Raw genomic sequence first — 14,160 nt, forward strand, 5'->3', positions numbered from 1 at the left:
GTGTGTATGTGTATATATATATATATACACAAAGTAGTTTCAGTATATATATATATATATATATATATATATAAAATAGTTTCAAGCTTCATTTATAAAATATGTTTCAAGACACCCAGTGGATGCCTGAAACCTCAGATATTACTGAAACCTATATATATATAAACTGTTTTTTTATTTCTTTTTATTTTCTTTCCTTTCATTTATTTATTTATTTTTTTTTTTGAGACAAAGTCTCACTCTATTGCCCAGGCTGGAGTGCAGTGGCGCTATCTCGGTTCAACGCAACCTCCGCCTCCCGGGTTCAAGCGATTCTCCTGCCTCAGCCTCCCGAGTAGCTGGGATTACAGGCGCACACCACTGCACCGGGCTAAATAGAGACGGGGTTTCACCATGTTGACCAGGCTGGTCTTGAACTCCTGACCTCAGGGGATCTGCCTGCCTTGGCCTCCCAAAGTGCTGGGATTACAGGCATGAGCCACTGTGCCCGGCCCATATATACTGCTTTTTTCTATACATACATAGTTATGATTAAGTTTAATTTAAAAATTAGGCACAGTTATAAATTAGCAATAACTAACACTAGAACAATTGTAATATACTGTAATAAAAGTTATATATGAATATGGTCTCTCTCTCTTAAAATACTGTAATATTTTAGGACCATGGTTAATGGTGGGTAATTGAAACTATGGAAAGGTGAATATATACAGAGATGTGTGCATGTATTTTTTCATATGTACATATATAATTTTTTTAAAACCCGAAATCGGGTTATAGTAGACAGACCATCAGGGTGGGAATTAAATCGCAAAGAAGAGAAAGGGAGCTTAAAGAAAAACACTGTTTGTTTCATAACTGTGTTTAGATCACACCTGCTTTTCCAGATCCCAGCCTGCCATGAATGAGAATATAAAAGAAATCTGAGGCTTACTGGGCGGTGGGGTAGCCTAGGGATTTAGGATGTGGTCTTCTCTGCAGACAGTGAGGGTCCCTGTGAGGCCAGGTCTAGTTGTACCTTTGGCTTGGTACTTAACCTAAGCCTGAGCTCCTTAATCACTAAAACATGGGTAACTGTGTCTGTAGCAGCAGGCTATTATTATTATTTTTTAAAATAAACTTTATTTTGGAATAATTCTAGCTTTACAGAAAATTTATAAAGATTGTAGTAGAGAGCTCTGTACATATGCCCTTACTGTTTACTTCATTGTTAACATCTTACATTACCAGGATACATTTATCAAAAATAAGAAATTGACATTTTGACATTACTGTTAACTACACTGCAGACTTTATCTGGATGTCAACAGTTTTGCCATTAATGTCTTCTCTCTATTCCAGGATCCCATCAAGGATCATGTTAGATTTGGTTGTCAGGTCCTTTCTGGATAAGTCTCCAGAGACTTATTTCAAGGTTTAAAACATAACACACGTAAAGCACACTTAGTCTAGTGCGAAACATGTAATAAAGCATTGGTCAACACTGAGAGATCGTTGTAACTATGTGACAGGCACTGTCTTCAGCACTTTCAAAACACCAATTCATCTAATATTCACAGCTATTCTGTGAAGACTCCAATTACATTTACTTTACAGATCAGAAAATGGAGGCACAGGAAGGTCAAAAAAATGGCCCCAAATTATGCAGCTGGCAGATCTGGGCTTCAACCCAGGCTTGCTGGCTCTTAAGCCCATGCTTTTAGTCACAATGTTGCCTCTTTGTATGTGCATCATATGTACTCTTTATTAGTAGGAGACTCTGGAACTGGTGAATTCTCTCTAGGGCAGAAGAATATTACTAAGTAGTTCTCTGTTAGTCACTGAAAATATGCCTGATTCTTAACCCTCTTTAAATAAAAAGTTATAGCAACTCAAAAAGAAAAGGTAAGGAATGTGGATTGAATAAGCCAGAAGTACATGTTTCATAGCTTTTCTTATAAATCACTTTTTTGAACGCTTACTCTGCCATATTTTTTCTTAATTTTTTATTTAATTTTTTATTTTTTTTGGAGGGAGGGTTTCACTCTGTAGCCTAGGCTGGAGTGCAGTAGTGCGATCACTGCTCATTGCAACCTTGATCTCCCAGACTCAAGGGATCCTCCCAACTCAGACTCCTGAGCAGCTGGAACTACAGGTGCACACCACCATGCCTGGCTAATTTTTGTATTTTTTGTAGAGACAGGGTTACCCCATGTTGCCCAGGCTGGTCTCAAACTCCTGGCTCAAGCAATCGGCCCCTCTTAGCCTCCCAAAGTGCTGGGATTACAGGCATGAGCCATTGTGCCTGGCGTTTTCTTAATTTTATACACATATATTCCTTTTTTCCCTCTCTCCTTCCCTCCCTCCCTTCTTTCCTTCCATCCATACTACATGTTTAAGCCATGGAACCTCTATCAAAACTACAGCAGAAAAGAAACTTTTTAAAAAAATCTAGGAATGAAGATTAAGAGCAAGCAAAAGGCAATGGAGTTTCTGGTAAGAATCAGGAAAGGCATAAAAGAGGAAGGATTTGGGAGCAGAAAGAAGGGAAGAGGGAGGATGGACTGGGAGCTCTCCAGTCAAGCTCTGCCAGGAACCAGCTGGTTATGCTGTCATTTAATTCATCTGACTCCTTATATTGGCTTCCCAGTCTATAAAATGAGCAGATCCCCTTTAACTGTGTTATATATAATAATTTTGAGTCCAGAACATTTAAAAAGGATGTTTAAAGAAAAATGCAAAAGCAAGAAAGCAATTAAGTTGATATGAAAGGCTTAGCAACTAAACTGGAAGGTGAGCAGGCCTCAGACTACAACATTCATTCAACACACATTTATTTCAACACTGTTCTAGGTGCTGGGGAGACAGAGAGGAACAAAGCATTGCCACTTCACTCATGGCCCTCATAGTCTAGTAGAGGGTTGAGAGATAATAAACATGGAAACCAATAAGATAATTGTAGACTGTGCGATGTTATAAAGGAAATTAATGAATGATGATGAGGCAGAGACTATGGGATAGGGGAGGGGGTATCCACACTTGAGATAGGACATATCATGTTTAATTTACATGTGTTCAGATTGTGATTACAATGGGGAAAATAAAACCCTTAAATCCTTTGGCAATCGACAAAATCACTTTATTTATAACACACTAAAGGTGTGCACCAAGACGGCTTTCCACAGGAGGTTTGAGAACCATTTTACTAGAAATGTGAAAGAGTATTTACACAACAATGTTTTAAGAGTTATTTAGGAGTAATTCTTCATGGAAATAAGAAAGTCTAGAATGAAGTCTTTCGGCTCCTCCTCAAGCAACTGACAAGCCCCTTTCCTAGGCCGGCATTAACTCTATCTACAATTCTATGTAAATATACTCTTGGTATCTGCTATGAACTGAATTGTCCCCCCAGCATCCCAATTGATATGTTGAAGCCCTAACCCCCAATGTTACTGTATCTGGAGATAGAGTCTTTAGGAGGTAATTAAGGTTAAATTAGGTAATAAGGGTGGGGTACTGATCTAATGGGATTAGCGACCTTAAAAGAAGAGACACCAAAGAGCCAGTGCTCCCTCTCTCTGTATAAGCACTACACCTGGGAAAGGCCATGTGAGGACACAGAGAGAAGGTGGCAGTCTACAAGCCAAGAAGACAGGCCTCGGAGAAAGCCAACCCTGCTGATGCCTTGATCTTGAACTCCCAGCCTCTAGAACTGTGGGACACTGTATTAACTCAGGGCCCACTGGAACAAAAATACCACCTTGTTAGATCACAGATGAGGTTGGGTCATTTTCATTGAATGCTATTCTTCCTCTAGGGTTCCTCAGTATGCCACTTGTGGACATAGCTTATGAGGAATTCTTTCAGGAACTGCAGGTATCAATCACATCTAGTTTTCTTTCCCCTCTTCACAGATAGTACACCAAATAATATCCATTAAACTGTCGTTACTTGCCATTGAAAGAGAGGCTTTTCAATGAGATGTGGTTTGCTCTAATAGCACGTCTCCTACAGGTAACAGTATCAGTACTGGCGTAAATGTGAATTAAATCATCCTTCTAAAAACAAGACATGGTTAAAATCAAACACATTTTCTCTTCTTTTCCTTAAGCCTCACACCATGCCAGGATGCCCATCATTTTCATGACACATCGAAATTTGAAAAACTTTAAAAAATTCCCTTTTCTTATTCTCTCCATTGATGTAGAATATTATAAAGTTATTGAAATCTGGTTTTCACAAAATATAATCTTTAAACTTTGAGCATCTGAATATTTTCTGGATCCCCATCATAGTTCTATCATTTACCAGCTCTGTAGCTTCCGGAAGACTATGTAGCATTTCTAAGCCTCTGTTTCTTCATCTACAGTGTGGGTTTATGGCGGGGACTAAATGAGTTTATATAGGAAAACCCGGCAAGTCGTAAGCGCTCAATAGCTGTTAATCACTACCACTACCATTATTACAACTGCTAATGTTACTGCAGTTTTTGTAACCAGCCTCCATATCGATCCTAAATCCATCAGTAACAATAACTTTCCTTAAAAAGACCATTCTCAGGCCAGATGTCTCCAAATAGCTACCAACTGTTTGTAATATCATGTCTTAATTCCTTCCAAATGATGACTGAGTAGGCTCTTCTCTGGTTGCCTGTTGCCTGCCCATTCTGTCTTCCTAGCTCATTACGAGAGAACCCACCCTTCCCAATGGCCCCGGGGCAATCCAGGTGTACATCTCTCATCTGAGCATGATTTTTTTTTTGAGACGGAGTCTCGCTCTGTGGCCCAGGCTGGAGTGCAGTGGCGTGATCTTGGCTCACTGCAAGCTCCGCCTCCCTGGTTCACGCCATTCTCCTGCCTCAGCCCCCCGAATAGCTGGGAATACAGGCGCCCGTCACCACGCCCAATTAATTTTTCTATTTTTAGTAGAGACAGGGTTTCACTGTGTTAGCCAGGATGGTCTCGATCTCCTGACCTTGTGATCCGCCCCCCTCGGCCTCCCACAGTGCTGGGATTACAAGCGTGAGCCACTGCGCCCGGCCCTGAGTATAATTATTAATACCTTCCCTTTCACTCTCAAGTGTCCTGGCATGGGTGTTACTTGTTTCCCATTTGCTTAGACTTTCTGCTCTCGGTGGAAAAACCATCACACACAGTTCACTTGCTCTCACCTTCAAGTTATTTCCCTCCTCTAGAATGCTGTACTTCCACCACTGCCAAATCGTGAACTTTCTCTCCTTCAATATCCCACTGAGAACTCACCCCCAGGATGGGACTCTGCTCACCCCGTCCTCTACTCAAGCAGAAGCCTCTCAGCGATCATGTAAATAACTGTATAACTTTAATTGGCTCTGTTTATAAGCCTCTTATATCTTTTTTTCCCTCTAGGTATTTTTCCATGTGTTTATCCTGTCTCCATTAATTTGTAATCTTCCAGAGGGCAAGGCCTGAACACAAGCTTCTGTTGGTGTAAAGTGGAGGCACAGGTAAGGCTGATTGCTAGACACTGCCGTCCTTCTTTATTAGTAATCTGTTAAAAAAAAAAAAATTCTTTGTTGTAGTGTTTTGTTAGTGATGGTCCCGAGACTGCTAACCTAATGAAAAACTATATCCAGTGTCTGCTAGTGTCCAGACAAAAGAAAATCAACAGTTACAAGCTTTTCATAACGTGAGGGGAAAGTGTGCGGATATTTTGACCCATAAGGGAATTTATGGTGTATGGAAAGCATGTTATAGAATTTGTTGCCTTTAGATTTTTATTCTTGTCTTTTCAAGGCTGCAGGACTGTCTCAGAAGGGAAATAATATTTACCTTCCAAACTGAGATCTAAAACCCGAACAAAGCCTCAGGAAACATACTCCACCACCATCTTACAAGTTTGTGCTACGGGTGGAGGGAAAATGAATCTAATGTAGGAGGCCTCCCGCTGTGCGTCTAGCAGGAAAGACCATACGGTGCAAGTCTCCAGGATCACTAGAGGGGTGGATTGTTCATTTCAGTCCAGGTAGCAACAGGAAGCCCGTGCAAATGTTCCTCTCTCACTGCGGGGCTAAGGAGTGTGGGTCCTTTCCCGCGACTACCTGCTTGCCTCTCTCAGAACCTGCAAGTGAAGTGCGGAAGATCTGTCTATCTTCTCGGCGGCGCAGAGCCCAAGGTAGAAACCGATGGAGGCGGTGCACTAGATAACATCAAAGCCCCGGGCAGGGGCCAGAAAGGGGGGCACAGGCAGCCCGGGGAATGAAGCGCCTCCCTCTAGCATTTCCTCTCACGCCCACTTCCAACCTAGGAGGCTTTTGGTTTCTGCTTTTTTGTTTTTAAAATTAAAAGTTAAACCCAGGAAGCTTTGGATCAGACTTTTGTGTTGCAGTTCGGGTAAGTTTTTCTCTCGGTTCTTTTGTCTGGCGCCTGGCTTGGGAAGAGCCTGGGCGTGGGGCAGAGTTGGCAGGGCGTGCGGGGAAGGTTTTGTCGCCGGGTTGCCCAGAGGAGGAGGGGATTCGGCCGGTGGATGGGAAAGCCCAGCGCGCGCGGAGGGCGGAGGGCGGAGGGCCGAGGGGAGGGACGAGCGGCGTGACCCGGCGGCCGGCGGGGAGGAACCTCCGGGATCTCCGCGTGGCGGTGGCGGCGGCGGCGGCGGCGGCGGCGCTGCCGGGCCGCGCGCTGGGCGGAGGGCCGGGGCCGCGGGGCCGCGCCAGGGGGGTGCCTGAGCCGGGCCCGGCCGGGCGGCCGCGTGGGAACCCGAGCCGTGGACGCAGCGGCGGGGGCGGGCAGGGTGGCGCGGGGCCCAGTGGACGCGGCTCCGGGGTGGACTTTGTGCCCTCTCCAAACTGTTCGCCAAGAAAAACGTGTGTTGAGCTTTTCAGTGACACTATCCTCCCTCGAACCCCACTTTCCCCAAGGGGGGCTCCAGAAGCGTTCACGCGGACGGTGGGGATGGAACCATAGAGAAATGGACCTCCAGGAGCCCCCTCTTTTTTGGGGGCAGAGAATGGTCACTTGCTCCTGCATTGTCCCAGGATTTTTGACAGTTGAAACTGCAGTTTACCATTCACATTCATCCTCCACATTCACCCTCTGCTTCATTTTTTTCCCACGCTGTGTTTATTTGATACATTTTGAGAAAATATATTGGATTTGCCACAAAACAAGCCTAAAGAAGCTACTTTATAGTATAGCCAGGTTTCCCTGCATCCTGATATCTGGGAAGAATTGTAGGCAGAATTAGGAAAAGAAACTGCATTTAGAAAATTCAAAAACTTACTAGGAAACTATTCTGTATTGTATATATTTCAAATAAAAGTTTAATATCGGTTTGCTGCTCAAGGAAATAGTTGAAATGTCAAAATTTACCTATCGTAATTCGAAATTGCATGTATGTTTTGTTAGAAAGTTCGTAGTAATGCTGAATCCTACATAAACATTGTGTTGACAGTATGTTGTGCTCAACAATTATTGGGTTAAACGTTATTCATTCAGTTAGCATTTTTCACTTCCAAAGTGATACAAACTTCACTCATTATCACATTACCTTTCTCCTGACAGATTAATAGCTATACGTTCACAGTTAAATGCATGTTTACTTTTGGATTCAAATAACCCAGTTGGGAAGTTACATTATATACTTTTTTGGTGATTGCAACCTATTGGATATCATTTCATTTCACAAATGAGAGATGGTTATAGCACAATGAAAATAAAAATTGCATTATTTCATCGTAGGGTTAGCATTAGTATGCTAGACATAATTGTACATGTACACAGTTGGATGATCTTTGCTTTTATAACCAAATTTACTTTGTAGTAGGCATATTTCTCCCTTTACATGATATTATTTTTGGCTACACACTCGCCATTACTGAGTATTCCATTTTTAATCATTCCCATTCTGGTGGTTTGAGCTTTTCTTAGCTCAAATGAGCCAGAGGTACGATTTCCTCAGGGGAATTTTAGGGGTCAACTCCAGCAGGAAAAACCTAGACGTCGTTATGGAAGCCCAAGGGAACAAAACAATTCAAGTTTGCACAGATGGCCAGCTGTCTTAGTGGTTGTATGGTCGTTTAGCATTTTTATTCCTTAAAAGGGGAAACCAGTTTAGTTTCATCAGGGATTTTTTTTTTTTTGCATCAATTTTGTTTCACCTTATTCCTCTCAAGTTTGAGGTGGCCCGTTAAACCAGCCACTTTTGCTTCTTGAGGTGGACCTGTGGAATTTCTGTGCCCCAAACTGCGAACGTTCTTTAGGTCTAACCCTGAAAACCTTCGTTACCCTGGTCCAGCCCCTCTTCACTGCTTTGCCATGGATTTCCACTCCTTGCTTTCTCTACTGCTTTCTAGCAGCCGGGGTCACACCTTGGTTCATGCTAATTACTCCCTCTTCCCCTTTCACGCTCTCCCCTCTTCCCTGGAGCCCGGTCCGACGACCAGCCCCGCACCCCCCTTTTCTGTCCCCGAAGTCCCCTCCCGGGTTGGCCCTATAAGCTGTCAGGCTGGCAGGCAGGGGTTAATTGCGCTCGCAGCTTCGGCACTGGGAAGCACCAGCGGGGCTTTGGAGCGGCCTCTGGAATAACCTTGGCTTTCCTCGCTCTTTTAATAGAACATCCGCCACCAAAAAGTGGTTTCAGTTCAGGGTTAACATGTCCCCTTCCACTCTCCAAACCAACACCCTGCCCCCTCCGTTTTTTTAAAAGTTGTTTTTCAAAGTTAATGAGTTTTAAGTTTCACAATGACTTTCCCCTTCCTTCTACGCGTTGCTGAGGAAACCCCCTTGGGGTCCCCCCCCCCCCCCGCCTCCCCCTCCCCCATTCTGCCCGGGCGAGGGGCGGGGCCGGGAGACCCCATGACGTCAGCGGCCGGCCCACATCCTGCTGTAGAAAGTAAAGAGACGGTAAAGAGAAACTACGGCCCCGCCCGTCCCGTCCCTCTTCCCGGACCAACCGCCCCCAACTGAGCGACCCCGCCAGGCCTTCCCGGGGCCGCGTGACTGGCCGGGCCCGCCCCTCCGCCCCCGCCGTGTGCTGGTTCCCCAGGCGTCGCGACCCAGGGCTCCCGCCCCCCGCGTCCCTAACCCCGCCCCTCCCCCCCGGGCTGCGCTGCCACCTCCTCCCGCGTCCCCCTCCCGTCCCTGCGGCGGCTCGGCCGGGCGGGGCGGGGAGGGGCGAAGCGGCGGGTAGGTGGCGGGGCCGGCGCGGTCTGGGGCCCGCCCCGCCGGGGAGACCCGGGGCACTGGCTCCGGGTTCGTGCCGGGCCGGGCGCCCATCCAGTCCCTACACCCGGTCAGAGCTGGCGGCCGCGCCGGCCCAGCTGGGCCCCGGCGCCTGGGCGTCCCGCGCCCCTCGCCCCGGCCTCAACCCCAGCCCCCGCGGGGACGCCCCCTCCCCCGCCCACGCGTCGCCGCCCGCGGCCTCCCCTCCTCCCGCCCCCGGGGATCCCCTGCCGCCCCGCCCACCCGCGGGAAAGCCTCCGACCTTCGCCCTGCCTCCCCCGCGCCGCCCGGCCCGCGTTCCTCCCGCCGGCCCCAAAGACGCTAAACGTGCCCTACTCTGCCCCGGGGGAGAGGTAAAGCCCGCGCCCGTCCTTCCCGCCCCGGGCCCCGCGGCCCCAGGGTCTGTCCGCCCGCCCCGCCGCGGCGCGCGCCCCCCAGCCCGGCTGCCCGGCTCCCTGGCGGCCGCGATCATGCCGTGGCTCCGGGCGCCGGCGAGCTTCGCCGCCTCCTCCGCCCGGCGGCTGCGGCCCCCGCCCGCGCGCCCCGCGCTCCCCCCCCCGCCCCCCGGCCCGCTCCCCTGTTTAATATTTCAGTGCTGGGTGGTGTGAGCGCCAGTCGCCGGCCTTCAGCGTGGCGGCTGCTGGGCGGCGGCAGGGTGGCGGACGGAGCGGGGGACCGGGGAGCGGCGGCCGCCGGAGGAGGTTATGTTTGTGTTTGGGGTTGTCAAGTGAAGGAGGGATCCCAGGCGCCGCCGCCGCCGCCGCGCGGGGGTCGCGGAGATCCCGAGCCGCGGCCGCCGCCATCAGCAGCGCAGCTCCAGGGCCGGCTGCAGCGGCAGCGGCTCCGCCGGGCGTCCTGGCAGCAGGTTCGGCGCGGGCTCCGCGGCGGGGGCGCTGCAGCTGGGGAGGGCGGCGGGGCGGAGGGGGGGGGGGGCAGGAGCACATCCCTTCGGCGGGCGGGGGGCGTGCGGGCGCGCGTGTGTGTGTGTGTGTGCGTGTGTGTGCAACCGCCGACCTTGCAGAGGGGATGGCTGCGTGCGGGAGACCCTTGGCACTTCTGGGCGCCCTCGCCGCGCGCGAGCCGAGCAGGTACAGAGGGACCCAGCCTCCCCAGCCGCCTTCCAGCCGCAGACGCATTTTGCAAGAGGGTGGGGGGTGAAAGAGACCAGGCCTCGGCATCCCAACCTCCCGGCTTTGTGGGTTTCTTTCCCTTTCGTTCTTTGCTCTAAGTGCCTGTTTACTCCCGGCCACCTGGGTAGTTTCTTTCCGGGTTGGGAGTGCGCGCCAGCTGCAGTTGGGAAGGGGGCGGTGGGTTGGGGTGCGGGTCGGCTCGGGCTCGCCTTGGGGTCGGGCTCGGGAAGGAGTTGCTGGCTGGAGAGGGGAGGGGGCGGCGGCGGAGCAGGCGGCGAGGAGGAGTCTCAGGGCTGCCGCGCTCGCCTCATCTCGTCCTCCTCCTCCTCAGCTCTCTGCATCCACTCCAGGCTCCTTCCTGAGCTGGCACTTCCATTCCCCCCCTCCTCCTGGCATGCGAAGCGCTTTGTTCAGTGCAGCGTTGCAGAGGGGTTTTCCCAGGCTCCGCCCTCCACATTCATTCATGTTTTTTCTCCTTGCAACTGTCTTTACGCTTTTTGATCGTGTCATGTTTTTGCTCCATGTAGTATTTATTTCTTTCCCGTAAAGGAACGGTTTATCACTCGTCCTAGTCGCTACAATGCTGCTGTCTTTGGAAATACCCACTTCCCCCCACAAGGATTTAAATATGGGATGGACAGCTAGGGACAGTGGGTAGGCAATGAACGGGGTAGCAGAAAGCCTTTACGGACAGGGAATGTGCATATTTTACATTTATGCTCCGGATCCCATGGGATCACATGATTGGATTACAGTCAGAGTTCACGCTTTAAAAACTTCCAAATATCGTTACCATTTAAAAGCTTTAAGTTTAACAACGAACGTAGTTAAGCATTCATGCAATTTATTTGGTTCAGCTGTGTCTCAATTCTTTATTGAATCAGAACCTTCCTGAATTAGATAGTGGATGTTTCTTTAGAGCAAGGAGCTGAGAAACCCTATCTTTTATAGATCACTTAGCACAATGCTAGATGAAATACTTAGACCATCATTTTTTTTTGTATTATTTTACCATGTAGTTAAAAATTGCAAATAATTTTGTGCTGAGCTGACATACAGCCAGATCAGGGATAAAATACTGAAGTTAATCGTGGCCTTCTTTACCTTCTGTTTCTTTGCTGTAATGAAACCATAAATTTCTAAAACCTTATACTGGGATGTTAGACACATTCCTTCCCATATAGGCTTTCTTAAGGAGAATTAATAGTTCAGCGTTTTTGTGTGACAGGCAAAGCGTCTACAATGTTTAGTTTAGTCCTTATAACAACCTTCTGATGTGGATAATATTTCCTAATTTTACAGTTGGGAAATCTGATCTTCAGAGAGGTTAAGTAACCTGAACAAGGCCACACAGTAAGGGGTAAAGCCTGGCTTTGAACCCACTCCGGTTTGACACCAAGATAAGTCGTCATGACTTGCTGCGCCTCTTGAAAGAAATCCTGAAAGTAGATGTTATCAGCTCCACAAAATAAGCACTGGATATAACTGAGTCATGCAGTACCACATTCTTTAGTTGTTTATCTTGGACAAGTTACTTATCCAATTTTTTTTTAATCTGTAAAATGAATAAATGATAGCTACCTTCTTAGTTAACAGATTAAATTAGGGAATGTGTAGAAAGTACACAGGCACATAGTAGGTGCTCATAAGTGTTCTCTTGTCTTCTACAGTACCACTAATAACAAAAGCTTTAAGCCTTCCTTACTGTTCTATTCTTGTGTCTTTGCTTAATGACTAAACATTGTTTCATGTTTAACAGTGACAGTGGGCTTTGCTTCTCAGTTTTCTTGCAGTAAGTTAAAATTTCAGCTTTAAGATCCTTGAGAATCTTGTGGAAGAGCCTGAGGTGGCTGATTTGGGGAGATAGGTGATTCGGTTTTGGGTCATTCTTATCTTGGCCTATTATATTTCAGATCACTGTGTTTTAAAATCTGTAAGTCAGGACAGGCTAGGTTGTGCTGCAGTAACAAATAACTCTCAAACCTCACTTATTTAAGCAAACAAAAAGGTGTTTCTGGCGTATGCTGTGTGATCACGTGGGTTAGCCAGAGCTGACTTTGTGGTGGTGTCAGATTTGCTGTCTGGAGCAGTGCTGATCCCATGGCAGAGAGAGAAGAGCTCTGGAGGATCATGCTGTGGTAATAACTAAATGCTCCAGCCTGGAAGTGAAGTCTCATCCGCTCACAGGTCGTTAGCTACAGCTCCTCACACGTTCCTGGGAAACACAGGGAAGCAGAAAGTGTGGTCCTACCATGAACCTAGAGGTCTGGAATAACTGGAGTAGCCACAGTAGCAACCCCTTGTATTAACTGAGTTAACTCTAAAACAAGATGAACAAGACATTGTCCCTGCCCCTATGAATGGGCAGATTTACTATACATGCCTAACATAATCCTTTTGTAGCCTGATGCGATACTTTACTTGTTCCTGGTATTGTTGTTTTAAAACACAAAGTGAGTTTTTTTACTCTTGTCTGATAAAGATACGGTGTTTTTTTTCTGTTTTCTTAATGAGAAGTCCCGATACTGACAAAATGACCTCTGTTTAATTAAAAGTTAGTAATCTTTTGCAGTGGTGCCCAGCTTGGTTACTTTTTCTTGAGTTTAGGTTAGTGCTCTGCTAGGCAGTAACTTTTAAAGTATCTTTCTCCTCTGAAGGTAGTAAAATGTGCTTCTCCGTTTTTTTCTTTTTCAGCACATGGATTAATTGATGTATGTTGAGTTTATGGAGCTGCCTTTTGGTGGCTTGCTTTATCTGCAGTTTTTAAGAAGAAAAAGAAGGCCCTGAGTCAAAGAAGATGCCTCGAACTAAACAAATTCATCCCAGAAATCTAAGAGGTAAAGCATTGCATTAAGTAGAAGTAAGGCTTGCTGTAAATCTTTTAACAAAGTATCTCTTTGGTGACAGGAATGGCCGTTTGTTAGATGTTGACCCTGCCTGGTGAGGAGCGCTATTTCTCTTGCTCATTTCCAGCAGTCCTGCACAATTCCTGTCTCTCAGGAGATACTTAATAAATATCTGTTGAATGAATGAATTGAATTTGACGAAATTACAGTGCATTCCTTCCAAACCATTAGATGGGGTATTAAAGGCTGAAAGTTGCTATTTGTTAATAGGAACCATATTTGGGTCAAGGAATCTGAAAGTAATGGTTAAATATTCTTTGCCAACTGGATCATTAAGAATTTTATGTTTTTTTTTCACTCTTCCTCCATAGTTCTTTTGAGGTTTATTTTTGTACCACTCCATCAGTTAGATTAACAAGATAAGAAGTGAAGAGAATTGTAGGCATTCACTCAGACCATTACTTGCAGAAGTCAGAGGCAAACTGAGTTATTTTCCACGAAGAAGCAGTGGGTCACAAATATATATATGATACACATTTCATGCAAAGACAGAAAAGTGTGTGTTTTCCATCAACCGCGAATACTTTTAATAGTAGAAAAGTAAGTGTATTCTAGCTTATTGTTTAAAAAGATTTGTATTGTTCTCGTGTTATATCAATGGTGAATAGCAATTATCTTTTATATTAAACTTCAGGAGATAAGAATGTAGTAGTGCTAAAAACAAGAACTATTAAAGCAAATAATTCCAAACTGACTATGGTGTTTTATGAAATATTTACCATTACAGAAAAAAAATTCTGAAGCGTATGTAGGGGAGAAGTGACTTAAAAATCAAATAAATTAATTTGAAATGTTTTTTGGTAAAATCAATTTGGCTAGTCACCATAAGGTGATCTTTGAAAATGCAGTCAATTTTATGGCCTCCGTGAATCTGGAAATAGTGCTTGTTTCCTGTCTAGAAATCTCTGTTGCCTCAGGTGGATGCCTCAGCCTAAGTTCAAATTGATG

The 14,160-nt window shown here is 46.5% G+C and overlaps 1 protein-coding gene across 16 annotated transcripts in view, besides 4 other annotated features; it reads left to right on the plus strand.

Annotated features, from left to right (window-relative positions):
• The first annotated feature begins 5,167 nt into the window (after positions 1-5,167).
• HIVEP1 (HIVEP zinc finger 1) overlaps positions 5,168-14,160 on the plus strand; it is a 204,356-nt gene continuing 195,363 nt past the window's right edge. For 4 of the 16 annotated variants that reach the window (XR_007059258.1, XM_047418701.1, XM_047418699.1 and 1 more), the window contains exons 1-3: positions 5,168-5,464; positions 5,754-6,132; positions 13,001-13,143. Coding sequence is in view for 10 of the 16 variants with exons in the window: in XM_047418699.1 (XP_047274655.1) it covers positions 13,104-13,143 (40 nt within the window). In the remaining 6 variants the exon portion in view is untranslated. Of the gene's footprint in view, positions 5,465-5,753; positions 6,133-6,235; positions 6,351-8,804; positions 8,859-9,472; positions 9,530-9,786; positions 10,042-10,129; positions 10,265-13,000; positions 13,144-14,160 lie in introns of those variants that run through there. The other 12 variants (XR_007059260.1, XM_011514552.3, XM_047418702.1 and 9 more) reach the window with 6 other exon arrangements.
• Positions 6,645-6,764: a silencer, noted in NCBI's record as "silent region_16919". NCBI's record gives its function as "represses an Ori minimal core promoter by ATAC-STARR-seq in GM12878 lymphoblastoid cells {active_cell/tissue: GM12878}" and the evidence as "EXISTENCE:reporter gene assay evidence [ECO:0000049][PMID:35858748]".
• Positions 7,838-8,382: an enhancer, noted in NCBI's record as "H3K27ac hESC enhancer chr6:12010596-12011140 (GRCh37/hg19 assembly coordinates)". NCBI's record gives its function as "activates a minimal SCP1, AML or CMV promoter by ChIP-STARR-seq in naive H9 embryonic stem cells {active_cell/tissue: H9 hESC(naive)}" and the evidence as "EXISTENCE:reporter gene assay evidence [ECO:0000049][PMID:30033119]".
• Positions 8,712-9,621: a silencer, noted in NCBI's record as "silent region_16920". NCBI's record gives its function as "represses an Ori minimal core promoter by ATAC-STARR-seq in GM12878 lymphoblastoid cells {active_cell/tissue: GM12878}" and the evidence as "EXISTENCE:reporter gene assay evidence [ECO:0000049][PMID:35858748]".
• Positions 9,802-9,941: a silencer, noted in NCBI's record as "silent region_16921". NCBI's record gives its function as "represses an Ori minimal core promoter by ATAC-STARR-seq in GM12878 lymphoblastoid cells {active_cell/tissue: GM12878}" and the evidence as "EXISTENCE:reporter gene assay evidence [ECO:0000049][PMID:35858748]".

This window comes from Homo sapiens, chromosome 6, assembly GCF_000001405.40.
Source record: "Homo sapiens chromosome 6, GRCh38.p14 Primary Assembly".
Classification (NCBI taxonomy): Eukaryota; Metazoa; Chordata; class Mammalia; order Primates; family Hominidae; genus Homo; species Homo sapiens.